General features: G+C 35.5%; 1 protein-coding gene and 1 pseudogene across 5 annotated transcripts in view, besides 1 other annotated feature; one reads left to right on the top strand and one right to left on the bottom strand.

The window, feature by feature from the left end:
* Window positions 1-24765, bottom strand: part of TRHDE (thyrotropin releasing hormone degrading enzyme) — a 583493-nt gene that overhangs the window by 214799 nt on the left and 343929 nt on the right. The window contains exon 1 of one of the 5 annotated variants that reach the window (XM_011538248.3): window positions 23394-23480. The exons of the other annotated variants lie outside the window; for them this stretch is intronic. The gene's annotated coding sequence lies outside the window, so the exon portion shown is untranslated. Of the gene's footprint in view, window positions 1-23393; window positions 23481-24765 lie in introns of those variants that run through there. 5 annotated transcript variants of the gene reach the window in all.
* Window positions 11445-11946: an enhancer, noted in NCBI's record as "NANOG hESC enhancer chr12:72837794-72838295 (GRCh37/hg19 assembly coordinates)". NCBI's record gives its function as "activates a minimal SCP1, AML or CMV promoter by ChIP-STARR-seq in primed H9 embryonic stem cells {active_cell/tissue: H9 hESC(primed)}" and the evidence as "EXISTENCE:reporter gene assay evidence [ECO:0000049][PMID:30033119]".
* Window positions 23817-24436, top strand: H3P35 (H3 histone pseudogene 35; annotated as a pseudogene).

Here is a 24765-nt window from a genome sequence, read left to right as displayed (position 1 = left end):
CCAAATTTTGGCAAACTCGTTGAATTCTATGAGTATATGATTCTAAATTCATACTGAAAGTAGACTCCTCTGTATCTACTCCTATATAACTCCAGGCAGACAGAAAGATTAAAACCAAGCTATACTTGTGGGTTCTGTCCCAAGAGGTCCAATTTAATAATAATAGCAAATAATACTTTCAAAAAATCATTTGTAAAGTCTCCAAATTAGCTAAGTAAATACAATACCTCTAACTTTTATTTCTGACACTTCTAACATCTCAGACTGTTTTAAACCTGACATACTGATCTCTACCACCCTAAAGGGGTCTAATAAGTTGTTGACTACTAGGTAAGTTTTCATATTTAATGTAATTTCCATCCCCAACACTTCCATTTGTTACTGGAAACATAAATCCATCCATTAAAGATTCTGCACTCAATTAAAAATAAATATAATGATATTTCAAGAAAAAATATTTCTACAGAAGATATAACATTATAAAATACATTAAATAACCAAAAGTTCTAAATTTACCTTTACAAAAAAAACTTTCAAAATCTTCAGCCTTGAATTATAAAATTATTTTTAAAGTTTACAACTACTAAACACTTGTATAAAGTATGCAGATTTTTGTACCAAATAACCAGTTGGTTGTTATCATTATATTACAAAGATATGCTGCATTTTCAGATCACATATAACATTTTTTTAATGGCAAAGAGTACCGGAGAAAGTTTTTACAAATTTTTCTGTAGTGATTATCTATTGATAAAATTTAGCACTTGGAAATATCAGAAATATTAAGCCTGAGAACATCAAAGACATTAAGTTTCTAAATTTGAGATCACCATTGACTCTGAGACTTTATTAAACAGTCATCTCTCCCTTCCTCCTTCCTGACCTTCTTATTCTATATTACTGGGTCTTAGACTAAAGGTGTAAAATATTGTGTTCAATGAATCATAAAGCATTCTCAGTGTTTGGGGAAGCCTAAGATCCATGAAGAGAAATGGCAGGAGGCAAGTTAGGATGGAAGCAAATAAATCTTGAAGGATATTGTATAGCTTTATGGGTTTTTACTCAAGTAGTGCAGGACCATGAACAATCTGTGTTTAGGGAGAAAACTATCACACTCTAGCCTTGTTACTCCAAGGTGTGGTTCATGAATCAACAGCACTGGCATCATCTGAGGATTTGTTAGAGCTGAAGAATCTCAGAACCTGCTCTAGACTAACTGAATCAGAATATGCATTTTAACAAGATCCTCAGACTACTTATATGTACATTAAAGTTTGGGAATCACAGACTTAGAGTAAGTCTTCCATGATGGGGTCCTTTCCCCTGAGTTTGCTTAAGACTATCCATGAAGATTGGCGAGTAAAATACAATGTTTATTTATATTTATTTTTGCCTGGTACAATAAGAAATAGATTAAGCTTTTTCAGTATTCAATGTAAGATATTCTCTTCTGTTCATGTATCAAGGTCCATGAACAGGGATTAATGGTTCCATAGATGTCATAATAGCACTGCCTTTCTCATTAGTTCACTTTCAAGGGAAAAGGACACATGACAGCACCTGAGCACCAACTTAAATCAATTTATAAATTATATTAGTTTAAACAATCTTCACAAAATAAATAGACAGCTTAAAAAGATTCCTGCAAAAAATATTAGATTGGAGTTAACATTTATAAATGTTTAGATCCCTCAACCATTATACTCCATTTTATCCCATTTTCATTATAAGGTAAAAACAAAGAGTTGATTACATATTTTTTTTAAAAAAAAACAAATTTATCAACAAGCATTTTTGCACTATTGATTTATACTACTCTTACAATGAACTTCACTCTACACGCATATGTGCCTTGAAATTTAGCTACTGAAAATCATAAGTATACTACTTCAAAAGTAGATAAATTCAGCTAAGTCAGAACAAGTGTACTCAAAAATATCTGGTAGTAGTGCAAAACTGAAAATGAAAAGGAGACTGTGACAAAAGGTATAAATTCTTGGAAGCTTTATGACACTGCCCATCACCTGAGAAACCCAAATACTTATCCTGGTCAACTTAGGAAAACTTGTGCACCCACAGGTTTAACACAACATGGTACCTGCCAAGGCTTATGGCTTACACCCTCTGAATCAGTGGTCTGAGCTGTACCCGGGCCCCTTTGAGCCACAGCTGGAAATGGAGCAGCTGGGATGCAGGAAGCAGTGTCCCAAGGCTGCCCAGGGCAACAGGGCTCTGAGCCTGGCTCAGGAAGCCATTCTGTCCTCCTAGGCCTCAGGGCCTGTGATGGGAGGGGCTGCTTCTTAGGTCTCTAAAATACTTTCAAGGCCTTTTCCTCATTGTTTTCTCTATTAGCTCTTGCCTTCTTTTTAGTTATGCAAATTTCTCTAGTAAGTGGTTGCTCAGCCGTCAGCTTGAATTTTTCTCCTGAAAATGGGCTTTTCTTTTCTTCCACATAGCCAGGCTGCAAATTTTCCAAAATTTACATTCTACTTCTCTTTTAAATATAAATTCCAACTTATTTCTTTGTTCCCACATCTGAGCTAGGCTATTAGAAGCAGCCATGTCACATCTTGAATACTGCTGCTTAGAAATTTATTTTGCCAGATACCCTAGGTAATCACTCTCAAGTTCAAACTTCCACATATCCCTAGGGCATTTACACAATCCAACCAAGTTCTTTGCTTAGGCAAAACATAAGTGACCTTTGTTCCAGCTCCCAATAAATCTGTCATTTCCATCTGAGACCTTCTCAGCCTGGATTTTACTGTTCCTATCACTATCAGCATTTTAGTCACAATTATTTACCCAGTCTCTTAAAAATTCCATACTTTCCTTCATCTTCCTGTCTTCTTCTGAGCCTCCAAACTCTTCAAATCTCTGCTGACTACTCAGTTCAAAAGCTGTTTCCATATTTGTCTGTATCTCTATAGCAATGCCCCACTGCTTAGTACCAATGATCTGTGTTAGGCTGTTCTCACATTGCTATAAAGAAATATTCAAGATGGGGTAATTTATGAAGAAAATGTTTAATTGCCTCATGGTTTCACAGGCTGTACAGGAATCATGATGCTGACCTCTGCTTGGCTTCTAGGGAAGCCTCAGGAAAATTACAATCATGGCAAAGGGGGAGTAGGCATGTACATGGCCAGAGCAGGAGCAAGAGAGTGAAGGGGGAGGGGGCACATGATTTTAAATGACCAGATCTCATGGGAACTCACTATTGTGAGAACAGTATCAAGAGGATGGTACTAAATGATCCATGAGAAGTCCACCCCCATGATCTAATCACCTCCCATCAGGCCCCATCTTCAACAGTGGGAATTAGATTTTGACATGAGATTTGGGCAGGAACTCACATCCAAACTATATTATCCATATATGAAAAACCCATAGCTAACATTATACTCAACAGCAATAATTTAAAAGCCTTTCCTCTGAAATCCAGAACAAGACAAGGATGCCCACACTTGTCACTTCCAGTAAACATAGTCCTGGAAGCCCTAGCTAGAGCAATTAGGCAAGAGAAGAAATAAAAATCATCCAAATGAGAAAAGAATTTCAACCGTTCTCATTTGCCAATGACACAATCTTACATATTGAAAACCTTGAAGACCCCACCAAAAAAACTACTGGAGCTAATAAATGAATTCAGTAAAGTTGCAGGATACAAAATTAATATACAGAAATCAGTAGTGTTTCTATATACTAACAAGAAACTATCAAAAGAATCAAATAAACTATCCTGTTTACAGTATCTACAAAAAAAAAACCTCAGGAATAAATATAACCAATAAGGCAGAATACCTGTATGATGAAAACTATAAAACCCTGACAAAAGAAACAGAAATCGCGCCTGTAATCCCAGCACTTTGGGAGGCCAATGCGGGCAGATCACTTGAGGCCAGGAGTTTGAGACCAGCCTGGCCGACATAGTGAAACCCTGTCTCTACTAAAAATACAAAAATTAGCTGGGCATGCTGGCACAGGCCTGTAGTCCCAGCTACTTGGGAGGCTGAGGCAGGAGAATTACTTGAACCCAGAAGTCAGAGGTTTCAGTAAGCCAAGATTGCACAACTGTGTTCCAGCTTGGCCAACAGAGCAAGATGCCATCTCGAAAAACAAAACAAAACAAACAAAAAGAAAGAAAAAAGAAAAGAAAAAGACACAAATAAATGGAAAGATATCAGTATTCATGTATTGAAAGAATTAATATTGTTAAAATATTGATAAATTACCCAAAGCAATCTATATATTCAATGTAATTCCTGTCAAATGACATTTTTTGCACAAACAGGAAAAAAAAGTGCCTAAAATTTATACAAAACCACAGAAGAGCCCAAATATCCAAACCAATTTTGAACAACAACAACAACAACAACAAAAAACAAAGCCAGAGGCATCACACTGCCTTAATTGAAAACATACTATAAAGCCATAGAAATAAAAACACCAAAGTGCTGGCATAAAAACAGACACATAGACCAATAGAACAAAATAGGGAGCCCAGAAATAAATCCTTGCATTTTTGGTCAATTGACTTTTGGCAAATGTGCCAAGAACACACAATAGAGAAAGGACAGTCCCTTCAATAAATGGTGCTGGAAAAGCTAAATATCCACATGCAGAATAATGAAATTAGACCCTGATCTCATACCATATACACAAGTCAATGCAAAATGGGTTAAAGATATAAACATAAGAACTGAAACTATAAAACCACTAGAAGAAAACAGAGGAGAAAAGCTCAATGGTACTGCTTTGGGCAATAATTTTTTTTGGATACAACCTCAAAAGCACAGGCAACAAAAAGCAAAACTAAACAAATCAGATTATATCAAACTAAAATACTTCTATGCAGCAAAGGAAACAATCAACAAAGTAAAGAACGGGAGAAAATATTTGCAAACTATATACCTGATGAAGGGTTAATATAAGAAAGTCAAACAACTCAATAGTGAAAACAAATAATTTGATTTTGAAATGAGCAAACCACTGCAATTGACAGTTCTCCAAAGAAGACATACAAATGGCCAAGAAGTATATGAAAAAAATGTCAACATCACTAATTATCAGGGAAATACAAATGAGAACCACAATGAGTTATCACCTCACACCTGTTAGAATGGCTACTACAGAAAAAACAAAAGATACTAAGTGCTGGAGAGGATGAGAAGAAAAGGGAATCCTTGCACACATTCCCTTGATGGGAATGTAAATTATTACAGCCATTATGAAAACCAGTGTAGAAGTTCCTAAATAAATTAAAAATAGAATTATCATATGATCCAGCAGTCCCTCTTATGGGTCTATCTCCAAAGGGAGTACAAAATTTCCGTCAGATAGGAGGAATAAGTTCAAGTTGTACAACATGGTGGCTATGGTTAATAGCAATGTACTATATTCTTGACAATTGGTAAGAGAGTAATAAGTATGTGAGGTAGGTAAAGCATGTGTTAATTAGCTTGACTTAGCCATTCCACGATGTATGCATATTTCAAAACATCATGTTGTACATGTTAAGGATATACAATTTTTATTTATCAATTATAATGGTTAATTAATAAATTGTAAAAATTAATGCCTGGTGTTCACTTCCACCGATTCTTAATTTTTCTAAGGTAGGACCTAGGCTTCTTCATTTGTTTAATGGCCCAAAAGTGAAATGAAGGTTGAAAATCACTGCTTTAGATGGGAGGAGAATAGAAGCAGATATTGTAGTAGTCTAAGTAAGAGATAATAGAATCCTATGTAAAATATAGAGGCATTTCAGAGGTATATCTGAATATAGTACATTGCTATTAACCATAGTCACCATGTTGTACAACTTGAACTTATTCCTCCTATCTGACTGATATTTTGTACTCTTTGGAGATATACCCAGAGGGATTTCAGAGGTGGAAACAGGCAGGACTTGGTAATTAACTAAATATTAAATTCAGATGAGAAACTCAACAAAGAAGCATAGACCACACTACCCAACTGAATGAATGGGGAAATGAATGGAATCATTGTATTCCATTAACCAAGATTGTGAATCCAGGAAACTAGAAGGAGAAAAGTGAGGAAGGAGAGGGAAAATAAGTGGAGAAAAAGGAGGTAATATTTTTATATTATAGAATAGAACAAAGTATGTTTTTGTAATGTTAACTTCAAAAATTCCATTTATTGCTAGTAAAGGAAAAGTAATAACAAAAGTTCCTTCCCATAACACCATGACTGTCTTTAAATCCTTTCCAATAGTTAAATCCTGGGCTGCCTAGCTTCAGAGTCCATATTTGCAATCTGAACTCTATGCTGCATCCTGTTGTATTTTTATGTTAATGGAAAAGGGGCTCAAAGGACCTACAATAAATCAAAAATAGTAGGGATTTGCACCCAGAGCTATGAGACACTGAAAAGAGCATGCCTAAGCCATCTATCTTTCTATTACTAAAAATGCAGTCTGAACTAAAGTCTATTGTTTTAAAAAGCTTTTTGAAGGAAAAAAAATAGTAGAGGCAGTGTGTACACAATGCCAGAAAAAAAAATTCAAAAATCAGATCACATGCACTTCTGCTATTACCTAGGTAAATACTAAATAAACAACATTTACAGGTTTATTATGGATTACCAGTGTTGATTTCCACAAATATTCAGTCCCCTGTCACGGCATTGTAGTATAAAAGGCAAGACTCTGTGTCAACTTGCTCTAAATTTCTTTGCTTTACTGCCAATGAGTTTATATAAAAATTTAGTTAGACCTCTATTTCAAACATAAATTTTTTGGCTACTGAAAGCCTGCATTCTTTAGTATGGTATATTATCTGGTGTCAATGAAAAACATCAAAATGTGCTCTGCCATAAACAAACACACCCCTTAAACCTTAGAGGAAAAGAGGAAGCTGGATAAGATGCAAACCATGCTCTGTTGACATGTTCAAATTAAGAAAATATATATGGCACAGTACCGACTGCTACAATATACAAATGTTTCATTTCCACTCTGACTGAATATAACAGCAGGTGGTAAAGTGGCATTACAAGCCAGTCACTTACACTTTAAGCCCAAAGGCAAAGGATCTATTATTTTTGCAGAGTTAGCTTAAGTTATTCCTTTGCGTCTTCCACACATACAAAAAAAAAAAGTAAAAATAAAAAATTTCCATTACCTCTAAAGGCAAACAAAATGACTAGTGATAATATGTCTCCTTTTCTTTCTTTCATTTTTTTTTCCTAAATTGCTTTCTGTAATGCTGTAGTTCAAATCATTGGGCTAACCTGTAATAGCATTTTACATACTCTAAGACACTTTAGAGATAGTAAGTTGTAATTCTTAATGTCACAATTCAGAACATAATACATAACGGACACAACTTTGAAAAATAGTTCTAAAATAGTCAAATGAATTCGGTATTAATATTTAACCTTCAAATAATTTTTCCAGAACACTACTACCATAAGTTTACCAATAGATTAGCTAATTAAAGTTTATTAACTGCTTAACACTGATACTAAATAAAACCAATGCTTATTTATCAAACAATTGTTACATAGTATGTTTTTCAGTTGAAGTAAATTTGTTTTATCATGAATTTATAGTGGTTTTGTTTGTTAAACTAAATAGAGCCTTATTGCTAGCCCAAATGAAGCCATTACACAATTTAGAAAAAGCCACCTCTTACGCAAGGCACTGTAATACCATCAACCAGAAAACAGTCTTAATAAATGCACAAATCTATGATGGCAACAAATGTGAATGGCAGCCTTCTAGAGTTGTGCAGTGCACAACTTAATCCATTAGGTTGTGTCAACAGAATTAGCAAGAAATGTTTCCTAATCCATAAAGCACAAAAATAGAATGCATTCTGCAAGGAGATAGTGAAACAGGCTTTCAAAACAACAAATACACTTGTAAAGAGATGACTTATGAAACACCATTTTTGATCAAAGGACCTAGTAATCATTAAGAACATGATGGGAAATCAGCTACTTTTTTCTTTACAGAGGATATAGCAAAAAACAAATGGACTTAAATTAGAAGTGTTACAGTTATAAATTTTTTCTGACAAGAGAGCTATTGAACATTCAGGTAATGTGCCAAGAAAGTCTCTTTACTGAGCATGGTTCTCAGCTGTGCTGTACCTTAGAATAAATTGAGAACCTTTTAGAAATACTGATGCCTGGGCCCCACTCCAGATCAATTCTCTCTGAGGCTCTAGGAGTGCAGCTCAAGCATCAATCTTTTTTTGAAAATTCTCCAAATAATGTCTAACATTCAGCCAGGGTTTAAAACATCAGACTTAGAAGGTGATTTTAAAAATAGTATTCATACCCGAGATAGACTAGGATGGTGGTTCTCAAATATGAGTGTGTATCAGAGTCACCATCAGGGTTTCATAAAACAGATTGCTTGATTCCGTAGTTGCTAATGCTTTTGGTTAAGAATCATACATGAAGAACCACTGGTCTAGAACCTTACTACTCAAAATACTGCCCTGGAATGGCAACATTGACATCACTAGGAGACTGTTAGAAATGCACAATCGGTGTCAATTTTAGATCTTTCCTGCTTTCTCTTGTGGGCATTTAGTGCTATAAATTTCCCTCTACACACTGCTGTAAATGTGTCCCAGAGATTCTGGTATGTTGTGTCTTTGTTCTCATTGGTTTCCAAGAACATCTTTATTTCTGCCTTCATTTCGTTATGTACCCAGTAGCCATTCAGGAGCAGGTTGTTCAGTTTCCATGTAGTTGAGCAGTTTTGAGTGAGTTTCTTAATCCTGAGTTCTAGTTTGATTGCACTGTGGTCTGAGAGACAGTTTGTTATAATTTCTGTTCTTTTACATTTGCTGAGGAGGGCTTTACTTCCAACTATGTGGTCAATTTCGGAATAAGTGCGATGCAGTGCTGAGAAGAATGTATATTCTGTTGATTTGGGGTGGAGAGTTCTGTAGATGTCTATTAGGTCCGCTTGGTGCAGAGCTGAGTTCAATTCCTGGATATCCTTGTTAACTTTCTGTCTCGTTGATCTGTCTAATGTTGACAGTCGGGTGTTAAAGTCTTCCATTATTATTGTGTGGGAGTCTAAGTCTCTTTGTAGGTCTCTAAGGACTTGCTTTATGAATCTGGGTGCTCCTGCATTGGGTGCATATATATATTTAGGATAGTTAGCTCTTCTTGTTGAATTGATCCCTTTACCATTATGTAATGGCCTTCTTTGTCTCTTTTGATCTTCGTTGGTTTAAACTGTGTTTTATCAGAGACTAGGATTGCAACCCCTGCTGTTTTTGTTGTTGTTTTCCATTTGCTTGGTAGATCTTCCTCCATCTCTTTATTTTGAGCCTATGTGTGTCTCTGCACATGAGATGGGTCTCCTGAATACAGCACACTGATGGGTCTTGACTCTTCATCCAATTTGCCAGTCTGTGTCTTTTAATTGGAGTATTTAGCCCATTTACATGTAAGGTTAATATTGTTATGTGTGAATTTGATCCTGTCATTATGATGTTGGCTGGTTATTTTGCTCACTAGTTGATGCAGTTTCTTCCTAGCATCAATGGTCTTTAGAATTTGGCATGTTTTTGCAGTGGCTGGTACTGGTTCTTCCTTTCCGTGTTTAGTGCTTCCTTCAGGAGCTCTCCTAAGGCAGGCCTGGTGGTGACAAAATCTCTCAGAGGGAAGGGGGAGGGATAGCATTAGGAGATATACCCAATGTAAATGACAAGTTAATGGGTGCAGCACACCAACATGGCACATGTATACATATGTAACAAACCTGCATGTTGTGCACATGTACCCTAGAACTTAAAGTATAAAAAAAAAAAAAAAAAGAAATGCACAATCGGGCCCCACCCATCACTGAATCGATATTTGGATTTTGACAGGTCCCCAGGTGATTCACATGTAAATTAAAATTTGAGAAGCACTGGTCTAGCGCACGGACCAATTAAAAAGTCTACTGGGACAAGGAGAAATACAAATGGGGATGAAATAGAGTAGAGACCTGTAAATAAATGGAGAGCTCATATTCTAAAACCTTCATCCCTAACCAACCAGTGCCCACATGGGAATGCAGGCCCAGTGTTGCCAGATAATTCTAATATTTCAAGAAAGCCGGGGGGAAAAAAGAAAGCAAGCAAGCTAGTAATCTGGATTTTTATGTGAAATCTCCCAACTGTAAAATATTGGCAATTAATTCAAAGGCTTAATAACATCTTCAAGACCAAATAAAATCTATCCATGTGCCATACTTGGCCTGTAGTTTGTCCATTTGTAATGTCTGATCTAGAAAGAGTCAATCATAAATTGAGTTAGTTGGAAATAAATCAGTGGAAATCCTCTCAAAACTCTTCCTTTAAAAGCTTAAGATGAACGATATATTTGGTAACAGTTAATTATTTTCCATAGGGCACACTTCTACCTAACATGAATTCAGCAAAGCAACAAAAATAAATGTTAGGGCAGCTTTGAAATACAAGTTATGGATGAAAGAATATCCAGCTATGAGGTAGGAAGCAAGAGAGGTTGCTGAAACAGGTTGGGAGTGTCTCTGAAAAACCTGAGAAGCACAAGCAATCAATCTCAAAATGAGAAGGGCTGAGGCATTTGAGTATGGGATAAATACACCTATGAACAGGGCAATATTTTCTTCAGAGTGGAAGAAAAATAGTAGTATTATACATGACATGTAGAATTTATTTTCACTTATTAAAAAATATGTGATAAAACAACCTCAATTCCACAGTTCATCTTCATCTATATTTAATAGCATTAAATCATATCACTTCCTTTAAGAAGCAATTTGAAAAAAAAAATCCCAACTGAGGCACACAACATGCTCAATGTCTGATATTTCAGTGAATTCTTGGTCATTGAGTATTTTTCTTAAAACCTTCAAATAATCACTTGTTAAGACGTCTTAGAAGCTATCTGGAGAAGAAGAAGGTACTTGTTGGAAAGGTCACATAGAAAAACACAGAGAGCAACTAAGCAGGCTGAGAGAATCATGAAAGTCAAAATACACATCTGAATGGGAGGAAAGAGAATAGTAAAGTCATGAAAACTGCTTACTACTCTGCTACAGTACTAATAAACAAGCAAAGTTTCATAAAGGCCATGGGAATGGCACAGAAGAAGACCAGGGAGAATATCCAGCCTCTCCTCACCACGCCTCCTTTAAAATACACTCCTTTCACTATGTGATCCTTAACTCCATAAGATCAAGTGGCTCGCTCTCCAGCTTCACTAACAGACATTTCTTAGCCTGTGATAAATGGTGTTCATAATATGGTTTAGATTTAATCTTATTAAATTATTAAATACTATCTCTCACTTCTCTCCAAATCCCTTCAATTAGGCCCACAATTAGGACAGTAGGTATTTTACTCAACTATGTCCTTATAAAGTCTTCAAGTTTTGCCATTAGAATAATAAACTAAAGTTTAGCAGGATGTACTTCTTGGTTCAATATTTAAGGGTAACTATCATCTCTTACTTTACTCTGCTATCAACTGATTTTTCAAAAAAAAATGTTGGGTATGCCAGTAACAGTAAAGTAACAAAGAAATATCAGATAAAACCATTTCCTTTAAAAAAATTAAGCAGAACTTTGAGCTGCACCCAGCACCCTAAAGGACACAGATTAGCAAATGAAAGACAGACTTTTACAGTGCAATTAGAATAAGGGAATTTGTAGTAGAAGCTGCCAAGATTGGGGGTTACAAGTGTGACTATCTCCTAGAGTCTACATTTATAAAAAAGAAAACTTCATCTTTGGGGTTTTTTAAAAATATTGAAATCAGAACATCATCTAAAAGATGGGTGCACTAAAAATCAGGAGCACCTTGTTTTTTTAGCTTTGCCTATAAAGAAACAATGTGGCCCAAGGCCAAGGCATTTTGGTTTCTTTATTTTAAACTGATGTCACAATTCTTCTTTATATGCAAAAAGAGGAAGGAAATAAATTAGCATTTAGTTTACTATTCAATATCTTCCAGGCTCTGTCTTTGGCAAAATTACCAGTCAGATGGGATGATGAATTACACAATCTTTATGGCCCCTTTAATTGAAAAATTATCTCATTTCTATGGAATATTTGAGTAAATTGATATGTAAATCACATGTAAATCCTGATAATAGTAAGTCACACTAGCACTACTTTTCTCTTGGAATCCACGCTCTTTCTATAGCAGCCTCTCCCCTCTGCAGTGAATAGCTCCTTTACCTACTTGTTAGTATTAAACCCAGAAATATAGAAAGGATCCATAGCAGCAGCCAAACAAAATGCCTATCTTCCTGACCATATTGTCACAATACATTATAATATAAAATATATAGAGAAAAATAGATACAGCTTAATGCAAAATGTTCCACTCAATGTGTTCTCCATTTTTTCTCACAATACACTAAAAGTTTTCCTTATTTTTAACCAGTTTACTTCATTACCATTGTTATGTTTATACCCAGCTATTATGCTCAATCCTAGGGAAAAAAAGGTGACTAATACTCAATCTAAGTCCTTGCTTCTTAGGTCTCAACAAGGTCATGAAACATAGTTTAAGTACATAGTAAGTGCAATATAATACCTGGGATACTAGGAAAATACAAAAAGAGAGCATCTAATTCAATCATGGAACACAAAAAAGGCTTTCTAGAGTAATGGTGATTGAGTAGACTCCCTTAAAGATAAAGAAGTTATGAACAAAAAGAATGAGGATACAAGGCATCTCAAGCACATAAAGTAGTGGAAAACACACACACACACACACACACACACACACACACACACAGGAAAGAAGTAGCGAAGTATGTGTGGAAAATAAGCTATGGAATACTATTGTAGTACAATGTTGGTAGCATAGGATTCGGGAAAATGAAGCTAAAGTGGTAGTCAATGACCAAATCGTGGAGGACTTTACATGTCATGCTAAGAACCTGTATTTTATTCTAGGAGCAAGGGGAAACCAATGAAGAGTGCAAGAGAATAGCATGGTCAGATTTACCTTTTTCAAGTTTGAAAGGTGGATTTCAGGTAGAAATAACTGAAGGCAAGGAAATAAGTGACAAGTGAGTCCTTATGCTGTTCAGTGTTAACAGGACTATGGAAGAGTGGATAGAATTAAGAAATAGTTAAGATGTGAAATTGGATGACTGATATGAAGGCAGCAAGGTGAAGGAACCTAAAAATCCTCTCCTTATTGTTTATGACTTTTAGGCCAACTCCTTACATGGGAGCACAAACAATTGAGACATGAAATACATGGGAAGAGCCAGACTGTTCAGGGTGCAAAATAGGAGCAGGGAAGCCGAATGCTGTTTGGATCTACTGCAAAAATATAACTCATAATCCATGAAGGGAGGTCCAGTAAGCATTAATCAAAGTGGTAGAGGGAAAAACAGGAGGTAGTGCTATCAGAGGAAATAAAGTTCCAAGAATGAAAGAAGGATCAATAACGCCAAATGCAGCAAGGAAATGCAGATAGATAAGTAAGGAAAAAGTGTTTATTGGATTTGGCCAATCTGCCTTTGCCAGGTAGTTTCAAAGGACTGCTGGGGATGAGAGCCAGACTGCTGTAGGCTCAGGAGTGACTAAGTGGTAAAGAAGTGACAGAGTAAATCTTCCATAGATTGCAAAGCCATGTAGATAAGTGAGACTTGCCCAAGTATCTCTGCCCTCTCTTTGTGGAGCAAAAATCTCCTTTGTATTTTATCACACATCGATGAGGCTCTCTACCAAGATGGCTTAAAAATAGAATTATTTCCTTTAAACTGAGTGAAAAGCCTTAATCACATTTAAAAGTCAATGTGAATAATAGTTATCAACCACCTAAATAAGTCTCATGTAGAGGAGCGGGATGAAGCAGGATGCCAACGTAAATCCCAAATAATCCCGGCATCATTTACAGACTATCCTCTCTTTACAAGGTGAAATGTTACTCTAAATATAGCTCAAGCATTACAGAGAATATAAAGAGACTTGTAGCTTCAGTTAACACCCCCACTCAGCCTTTTGCTTAGTGTTCACAAGGAATGTTCTAAAAAATTCTGTCTGGTGTTCCCAAGTTTACTCAAGGAAAAATGGGTGGCAGAAAATCGGAGGATTCCTATCCAAATCAACTTATTCATTTATTTTATATTTCAAGCACTATCGCTGAAATATTATTGTTCATTTCTATTTCTTACTAGCATTTGCTTTATTATCTTGTTTATCTTTGGATTTTGAAATCATCAAAATTCAATATGCATGTGATGTATTTGGCCAACAACGTCAACTGGAATGGAATAGCTTCGAGTTCTCTGGAAATGAGAATACACCTATAACAGCTCTCTTCATTAAACTCAAAACTGATATTACTTATATTTTATGATTCTGCCTGTAACAGTAAACCACTTAAAAACATTTTCAGAGATTCTCCAGAAGGATTAAAAGGAAGCTGTATTTCTCATCAGGTTTTCCCCACACCTCCTGTCCTTTTCCCTTTCCCGCCTGTCCAGCTTGATGTCAATCACCTTGTGTACTGCAATGATGAACTGTCTTACTACTCACTGAAGGCTTTCAGAGAAAGAGCAAGACAGTCATCATGGAGGTAGGAAGAGCAAAAAGAGTAAAGGGAAAACTGAAAAGTTATTATTAGTCAATTTTATTACTGCTGTACCCAAATAACAAACTATTTTTTCCATGCAAATGACTACATAACTTCCATGATAAAAAGGCAAAACATTATATGAGAGGAAGGCAAATCATCATTTATAGTCAAAGCAAAACACCAGCAAAAATAAAACAGAAAGAGCCTGTTACAACATAGCCACTGAAAACTGCAAGTAGTTAAAATTTATCCATTGATTTTTTTTTTCATTAAGCCCTTATCATCTTGTATAGTACTGAAATCTAAAGAGATAGCATGGAACTGAGTATAACAGTATTTTGATTCCCCTTAATTTATCCTGATTATCTTCATTTCAGAAAGTCATAACACATGAATATCCTTCACTCCAAAAAATTGCCAAGTGTGTATTGTTTATTGAGTCATTTGTTACTAACTTCTTGATAAATATCCATTTTGAATGTGCATATCTCTATCTTTTGCAGTTGAAGTAAATATGTGATGTCATCTGAATCCCAGAAATTGAAGTCCTGGTTGCTATCATTAATAGTTACCAAACATCTACCTGTGACAGACCCTGTGTTGGGTGCGATCTACTCTGATGTTCCAAGCATACCACACCTCCCACTAAGAATACAGCAGGGGGGTTTGTACCTCAGATGCTAGAGCCAGGCTACCTATTGAATCCTGAGTCTACCACTTACTGTCACTGTTTAATCTCTTTGTACCTCAGTTACTGTTTTTGTCAAAGTATGCTGATATGGATATATATCATAGGACTGTTATGAAGATTAAATAAGTCAATATATGTGCTAGCATTTATATGCTTATATATTTTATCTAGCATTATTAACATGAAATGTAAAAGATAAATATATTTTGAGCCCTCTACAAAACGAAAAACAGTTTGCAAAAAAAAATCTCAGATGCCAATTTATTCTTAAAAATATGTATGTGAAAATTTAATAAAATTGAGATTGAATAAGTAATAAAAAGTTTCACATCAAAGAAAAGCCTATGACCTAATGATTTCACTTCTAAATTATGTAAAATGTTTAAAGAAAAACTAATACTAATTCTTCTCAAAGTATTTCAAAAAATTAGAATACAAGAGCATAGCACTGATACCAAAGCCAGACAAAGACACTGCAAAAAAAGAAAACTGTAGGCCAATATTCCTGATGAACATAAATGTAAACATCCTCAACAAAATACTAGCAAATCGAATACAACAGCACACTAAAAAGATCACTGCCCATTATCGAGTGGGATTCATCCCAGTGATGCAAGTATGATTCAACATACATAAATCAATAAGTGTGATAAATTACATTAACAGAATGAAGAACAAAAACCATATAATCACCTAAATAGATGCAGAAAGAGCATATGAGAAAATCCAATATCCTTTCTTGATAAAAACTCTCAACAAGTTAGGTATAGAAGGAATGTCACTCAACAAAACAAAGACTATATATGACAAACCCACAACTAACACAATACTCAGTGGTATGCTATTATGTCAGGAAAGTTGAAAGCTTTTTCTCTAAGATCTGGAGCAAGAAAATGATGCTCCCTCTTACCACTTCTATTCAACACAGTATTGAAGGTCCCACCCAGAGCAATTAAGCAAGAGAAAGAAAGAAAATGCATCTAAATAGGAAAGGAAGAAGTCAAATTATTCATGTTTGCAGATGATATGATCATATATATAGAAAGCCCTAAAGACTCCACTGAAGCACTGTTAAAACTAAAAAATTCAGTAAAGTTTCAAGATATACATAAACAAAAAAATAGGAAATCAGAAAAATAATCACATTTCAATAGCTACAAAAAAATTAAGTACCTAGAAATGGATTTAACCAAGGAAGTGAAAGATCTTCACACTGAAAACTATGAATGAAAGAAACTGAAGAAGACACAAATAAATGGAAAAAAATCCCATGTTCATGGATTGGAAGAGTTAATATTGTTAAAATATTCATATTACTCAAAGCAATTTATAGATTCAATGCAATTGCTATCAAAATAACCAATGATATTCTTCACAAAAATAGAAAAAAATCTCAAAATTTTCTATAGAACCAAAAAGACCCTGAATAGCCAAAGCAAACTTGAGCAAAAAGATCAAAGCTGGAGGCACCACACTACCTGACTTCAAAATATACTATAAAGCTATAGTAACCAAAACAGTATGGTACTAAGGGGAAAAAACAGAACCATAGACCAATTAAGCAGAAGAGAGAGCCCAGAAATAAATGCATGCATCCAGAGCCAACTGACATTCAACAAAGGCACCAAGAACATACAATGGGCAAAGGACAATCTCTTCAATAAACGATGCTTGAAAAACTGGATATTCACATGTGAAAAAATAAAATTGGACTCATCTCACACCATACACAAGAATCAACTCAAATGGATTAAAGACTTACACATAAGGAACTCAAATGGATTAAAGACTTACACATAAGGTTCAAAACTACGAAACTACTAAAAGGGGAAATGCTCCAACACCTTGGTCTAGGCAATGCCTTTTTAGATGTGACCATAAAAACAGAGGCAACAAAAGTTAAAATAGACAAATGAAATTATATCAAACCAAAAAACTTCTGCATGGCAAAGGTAATAACAGAGTGAACAAAAAATATTTTCAAAAATTTTGCAAAAATATTTGCAAACTCTACACCTGATAAAGGGTTAATATCCAAAATATATAAAGAACTTAACTCAACAAATAATCTGATGGAAGAAAATATGATCACAAAAAAATCTGATGAAAGCAAAACACCATGATAGACATTTCTCAAAACATGACATAAAAATAGCCAAAAAGTATATGAAAAAATGCTCATCACTAATCATCAGGAAAATTAAAATCTCAATGAGATACCATCTCATACCTCTTAGAATGGCTATCATCAAAAAAGTTGAAAGATAAGTGTTGGTGAGCACGTAGAGAAAAGGGAATCCTTGCACATTATTGATAGGAATGTAAATTAGTACAGCCATTACAGAAAACAGTATGGAGGTTCCTCAAAAAATTAAAAATAGAACTACCACATGACCCAGGAATCCCACTATGGGGTAAATATACAAAGAAAATGACATCAATAGGTCAAAGATATATCACTCTTCCATGTTCACTGCAGAATACTCACAATAGCCAAGATATGGAATCAAATTAAGTGTCCATCAACAGATGAATAGATAAAGAAAACATGGTATATATACACAATGAAATACTATTCGGCCGTATAAAAGAAGAAAAGCCTGTCATTTGTGACAACATGGATGAACCTGAAGGACATTATGTTAAGTGAAATAACCCAGTCAGTCACAGAAAGAAAATTACCACATGATCTCACTCACATATGAAATCTAAAAAAGCTGATCTTATAGAAGTAGAAAATAGAATGGTGTTTACCAAGGGCTGGGGTGATTGGGGTGGGTTGGAAATAAATTGGCTCAAACATACAAAATTTCATTTGGATAGAAGAAACAATTTTAAGAGTTCTATTGTATAAATGGTGACCATAGTTAATAATATATTGTATTCTTGAAAAATGCTAAGAAAATGAATATAAAGTGTTCGCACCATAAAAATAACTACATTAGGTAATGTATATGTTCATTAGTTAGATTTAGTTACTCCACTATATATATTTCAAAATATTATGTTGTTTATGATAAATACATGCAATTGCATGTCAATTTTTAAAAAGTGAGTCAAAATGTCAAAAACTATTGAATAGAAACTATTTTGCACTTGTATACTTTGAAGATTTCTACCATATTATGATTCCATAAAAGTGATCAAACCACATAATAAGCTGAAAATGACAATAGTAGTTCAAAAGTTGCCTGAGTCTGACTTCCAATGAATTAATTTTCCCATTCAGTATTGTTTGACAAAAATTACTTCATTCCTGAAGACAACAGAATGAGGGTATCAGACCTCTTTTAAAAGCCTAAAATATCGCATGGACAAAAGTTGGATTAGCAGAAATACAACGGAGAAATGGGTGACAGAAGATCAGAGAGGGATGAACTTTGAATTCACTTAGGGAAAAGGAAAGGTTACAAAGAGGCAAGATAATAATTACTTCCACAGAGCATTCATTCTCTGTAAGGCAATATTTGAAGTGCTTTACTCCTATTAACTTATTTAATCCTCAAAACCCAAATTAATAAGAAGATACTTTTATTATCATTGCTATTTTATACATAGGGAAACAGAGAAATTAATAAACTTGTCCAAACTTGTCCAAGATCGTGCTATAGCTAGTAAGTAGTGTAAGCAAAAATTGTGCTCAGTCTGGCTTGTATTCCTGCCTCCCTCAAATATAAGGGGATATAGATATATGTATTTAGCTTGAATAGGACATGTATAAACTGAAAATATAAATACTTGAAAATAGATAATGGAGGATGCCCAGATATGAATATAAATTTAATATGTAGATGATGGGTAGTTGCGTGTTAAAATTTTGCTGTAATGTTCTAGGATCTATGAAGCTCATAAGATTGTTCAATTATGACACTTAAGAAAGGAGTTCATACTGTATTTTTCACCTGTCCAGATGTTTCCTGGAAAGCACCAAACAGAATGGGCTTCTAAAAGCAAGACAATAAGAAAATTCAGAAAAATTACTCTCGGTTCTTCAGTACGTCAATGATCTTGAAAGTTCAAGATCATTAATTCTGAAGAGTATGTCAGGCTGATTCTCTTGGAATATTCTTAAAGGAAGCATTAGTATTTATTCCCAGGCCATGTCTTATCACTGGGCCTGACCTTATAAGAACCCTGTGAAGTTCAGGAGATGGGGTACACTTGAATAAACAAAACAAAAACAAACACCATTACTTTGTAGTCCTTCAAAATAATCCCAATTAAATAATTAGCATAATGTCTTTATATGAAGAACATCTAAAAATTTTAATAGGTTCGTATTATGATAATCAAATCAGTCTAAAAACCAACAGGACAAAAAAGAAGAAATGATTAATTAAATTAAACAAGCTGGTATACTATCAGGATTAGAAATAAGTCTGGTCATACTCTATATTTTATTAATGACCTGGAAAAAACCACGACATGTTAATTAAGTCTATAAATTCAACTAAACTGACATGATATTTTCAAAGGTTAAGCTAGGAAAAAAGTCAAAAAAGAGCATGTTCACCTTAAGAAAAATATTTTCAATAAGTAGAAGTACTGTCATAAACTCTCACTTAAAGCACCATCAATTATCATTGAACAGAGATGCTCTTTAAATAAAGGTCAAACTCCACATAATAAAACACCTAAGGACAGATACATGACCCTGTATTTAAGAAAGGCTTTGTCGTTTATATTTTCATTTAGTGTAAAAATCCTCCCTCTTGTTTTTATTGGTCGGGGGGAACATATGTGAACAAGTTAAAAAATTAAATTTTCACCTTTATCATTTATACTTTTTTTTGCCTTTCCTACTTAATGAGCCAGAAACTCTCTGTTTGCTTGTAATAGCATAATTATGTCCTTGGGAACTGGTTTTCATATTGCAGCTATTTATTCCTTTACCTATCAGGTCATTAGTTCAAAATTATATGTTTCTTTTGTAACAGCTAATAATAATAAATTCTTACATTGCATCCCCAAAGAATTATGAAAAAATGCCTATTAACCACTTCATTCAGAACAAACACAAGGCAACAGTGGATAGAAAAAACTCTGACAAAAAAAAAAAAAAAATCCCAGCCTGGGATCTATTTTCATTCAAGTACTGTATCCACAAAATTGAATCAAGAGTATTATGGATTTTTTTTCAATAAAAATAGGACAATGTTATTAACATCATAAAATTAGAAGATTTTTTTCATATTCGAATCAAACATGTAACAAACCTGATTGGAAGAGATTTAGGTGAGAATCATTCAATCCTGAATAGCTTCCCATCCTGGTTTAGATATCGTCTAACTCCCCAACACAGGGAGCTCTCAAGCTGAAAGAACACCAATGCCAATGAACTGACATCAAAAGACATCAGTCCCTACAAGATTAGTTAAATAAACTGCTGCAGTTTGATGGCAGATTTCCATCCTTTGGGGAGGACAGATTATTAAACTAGATACTAATTCATCTGGGGACCAGGTATAGATGGCAGTCATGTTTTGCTTAATCTGCAGAATTTCTTTTTAATTCGTAGTCAGCAGTTTACAAATTGGGAGCTTTCTCATATCAAATAAATCTCCATTTCTAGCTCCTCTTGAAGAATGACAAGATCTGACAACAATGACAAACATATTCACATGGAAACAATGAACTGCTGATGAAGAAGAAATTTTCCCTTTACAGGGTGATACACCTCCAATTTGCCTCAGTCCTCAGTTCTGTAATTCCCACTACACATTTAAACATGTAAGGTAGATTTAAACTATTTAAAGTTGCCATCCCTGTTCTGTAGTTCAAAGAACAACTCTTCATGCCCTTGTTCTACTCTGGAATGGCATGTACCTTACAAAGGGAGAAACGTGGGGGAACAACAGAAGGAGCACAAGTAGTGAGATTAGTTCCCATCAGAGTGTGAAAGTGTTGGGAGTGGACAGAGATTAGGTGTACAGAGGTGAATATTTATTATTTATTTACATGAGCCTTTCATTTTCCTGAAGACAGATATAGCCTGGATTTCAAGAGACATGCATTAGAGCATGGGACCTTATTATTAGAAAGAACGTACAAGGTCATTTTGTCCATGCTTCTCCAAATTGGCTTATTGTAATAATTGTTGAGAAACCTTTATTTTTGACAGGAATTTCAGTAGTGACTGAAAATCTAATCTAGGAATTCAGAATATATCCAGAATGGCAGCATGAGGAGCTCCATAAAACCACTCCTCTCACACACACAAAACTTACCTGATGAAAATTATAAAAACAGCAAACATATAAAGTATTTGGAAGTTGGTCAAAGACATATGATAAACTTTTTTTTTTTTTTTTTTTTTGAGACATAGAGAGTCTGGCTCTGTTGCCCAGGCTGGAGTGCAGTGGTGCCATCTTGGCTAACTGCAACCTCTGCCTCCCGGGGTCAAGTGATTCTCCTGCCTCAGCCTCCCAAGTAGCTGGGACCACAGGTGTGGTCCACCATGCTCGGCTAATTTTTGTATTTTTAGTAGAGACAGGGTTTCACTATGTTGGCCAGGCTGCTCTTGAACTCCTGACTTTAAGTGATCTACCCACCTCAGCCTCCCAAAGTGCTGAGACTATAGGCGTGAGCCACTGTGCCTGGCCAAGAAACATTTATTTAAGAAAATTTACTAAGTCACAGTAGAACGGTGATTGTCTGTGGCACTTCAGTCCTCACTCACTCCTCTCCCCAGTTCAGCTCCCCATTTTAGCTCCACAACAGGCAGGTACACGGAGCTCATGGCTTTCTTTCCCACCAGCTCTCAGTCAACGGCTACAGTATCACCTCTGGAGAGACAGGCTTCCAGGAATTCTCCTCATCACCAGCTCCATGTTGAAGAGGCTAAATTCCAGGCATGTGTAACAAGAGATTAAGAGCCTTCTTTCTACATCCATTCCCCACTTGTAAGGGAGACTCTACCAGAGCCAGACTCTGTATGTCTCAAGAAAAAAAAAAAAAAGTTTATTTGTCATATGTCTTTGACCAACTTCCAAATACTTCATATGTTTGCTGTTTTTATAATTTTCATCAGGTAGCTTTTGTATGTGTGAGAGGAGGGGTTTTATGGAGCTCCTCATGCTGCCATTCTGGATATATTCTGAATCCCTAGATTAAATTTTCAGTCACTACTGAATGTGAGAGGCTGAAAATAGTGAGTTCCTAATTGCCTTTTCTTCAGCTTGCTCATAGGGCAAAGGCTCCATGCTCGGGGAGGCAAGCCAAGGAGACTAAAGGCTACTGCTCCTGTCCAGCACCCCACCCATAAACTAGAGTCAAACCAAACCTCAAAGACTGGACCCTAAATTACTCCCACAAAGGGGCCTGAATTTAATTGGACCAGATGTTTAAAGAATTAATATCAGTTCTTCACAAATAGAAAATTCCCAAGTCATTCTATGAAGGCTGTATTACTCTGGGACCACAAGCAGACAATACTTCAGAAGAAAGGAAATGTATAGATCAACATCTCATGAGTATAGACAAAAAAAATCATCATCAACATGCTAGCAAACCAAATCCTGAAACAAATCAAAATGATTATATACCATGGCTAAATATCACTTATCCCAGTAAGGAAAGATTGCTTTAAAATCCAAAAATTATTACTGTAATACACTATATAAATAAAGGGCAAAACTCACATGGTCGTCTCAATAGAAGCATTAAAAGCATTTGAAAATATCTAGCACCCTTTCATAATAATAAAAAAATACACAGGTAGTAACTTCTTCAATCTAATAAAGGGAATCTATGAAAAACCTCCACCTATCAATATACCTAATGGTAAGAGACGAAATGCTTTCCCCTAAGATCAAGAACAAGATAAGGATTTTTCACTCTCTCCACTTCTATTCACCATTATTCTGGAGGTTCTAGCTAGATTAACTAAGCAAAAAAATGAAAGGCATCTGTATTAGAAAGAAAAACTGTCCCTATTCGCAAAAGACATGACATTTTACATAGAAAATCCTAATGCCCCACTGTGACCCAAGACGCCTGTATGCCAGGGGTTCACCTGCTTCTTCTCCTCCCAATCGCTTCTCCCTGGATCCCCAAACCCAGGCTTCAAATGTTTGATGATGTCTGCTGTGGGGGATGGGTCAGAGTGGTGGGAAAAACTATAGGGAAAAGACACAAACCTTCTGAAAGGCCGGAAGGTTCTGCAGACCCCGGGGAGAATAGCTGAAGGCAGCTGTCCTATAACCCTGAGGCAGACGGCAAGGAGTAGGTACAAGGGACTGTGGGGGAATTTATCTTAAACAAGGTTGTTTACTTATATTGACCAGGAACTGACCTTTGATCATCTGCACATGTGACACTGCCTGAAAGGGGAACAATAAATGTTAATTAGCTACAGGTTGTGTTGGCTCCAGGTTTTCGGCATTGTGCCTGCACTGAATAAAAGCAAGCAGCTCCAGCTTCTTGGGGCTGTTCTCTGGCCACTAGAGCCAGGTAGTCACCTAGCTGCTCTTAAACTGCATACCCATGTATGAGTACTCATTTCATCTGTCTGCCAGGGTCTGCGGGACAGACCCAGCAGTCCGCCACACAGTCTCTGTAATGCTGTTGCTCTCTAATGCCTCCGATCAGGCCCAGCAAAGGAGAAAGGGGGTAAGAAAGGAAGTCTCTATACCATGGCTTATATAAAGCAGACCACCTGCAAATCAACGATGGTAAAGAACCTAGGAAGCAACTGGCTACAAAAGTGAACCCTCTATGGGAGGAAGAAAGAAACCTCATAGTTACAGGCCTGGTACTGTGGCACTCCGTGAAATTTGTTATCAGAAGTCCACTGAACTTCTGATTAGCAAATTTCTCTTCCAGCATCTGGTCCAAGAAATTGCTCAGAACTTCAAAACATCTGTGCTTCCTGAGAGCAGCTATTGGAGCTTTGCAGGAAGTGAGACCTATCTGGTTGACCTTTTTGAGGACATCAACCTGTGTGCTATCCATGTAAAACATGTAACAGGTATGCCAATAAACAGATAATAGGCCACATACATGAAGTATATGCCTAAGAATCCACTATGATGAGGAACATTTCATTCTCAAAAAAAAAAAAACCTCTTCTTCCTGTTATTGGCAGATCTGAACATTAGGTATTTTTTCCCCATAGAATCAAAAGGTACCTAAATATAAGATTGTGAGTGGAAAAATAGCAGACAGAAATCAGATAGTGGCATTTTTTCCATTTTCATCATGTGAATTTTTAATGTAAATGTGGGGACATAAAGCATTAATGTAAGTCAAAATATTTCAGTGATCAAGTTTCAGCAGTTCAACTTCATAACAACCACAGATAAACCTGTTAAATTTTTCTTCACAATGTCAGCATTTGGCTTGTTTTTAAAATAAGTAAATTTCTTATTAACAGCAACTAAATGGTGTTTGTGGCATTTTTTATCATACAGTAAAAAGTATAGTACATCCATTGACTATACTTTTCTGAGTTGTCCTACACACAAGTTCATGTTTTTAATGTTGTCTTTCTTGAGTGCTATTTCTGTAAGT

Source organism: Homo sapiens, chromosome 12 (assembly GCF_000001405.40).
Source record: "Homo sapiens chromosome 12, GRCh38.p14 Primary Assembly".
Classification (NCBI taxonomy): domain Eukaryota; kingdom Metazoa; phylum Chordata; class Mammalia; order Primates; family Hominidae; genus Homo; species Homo sapiens.
This window is presented reverse-complemented; position numbering and strand designations above follow the sequence as displayed.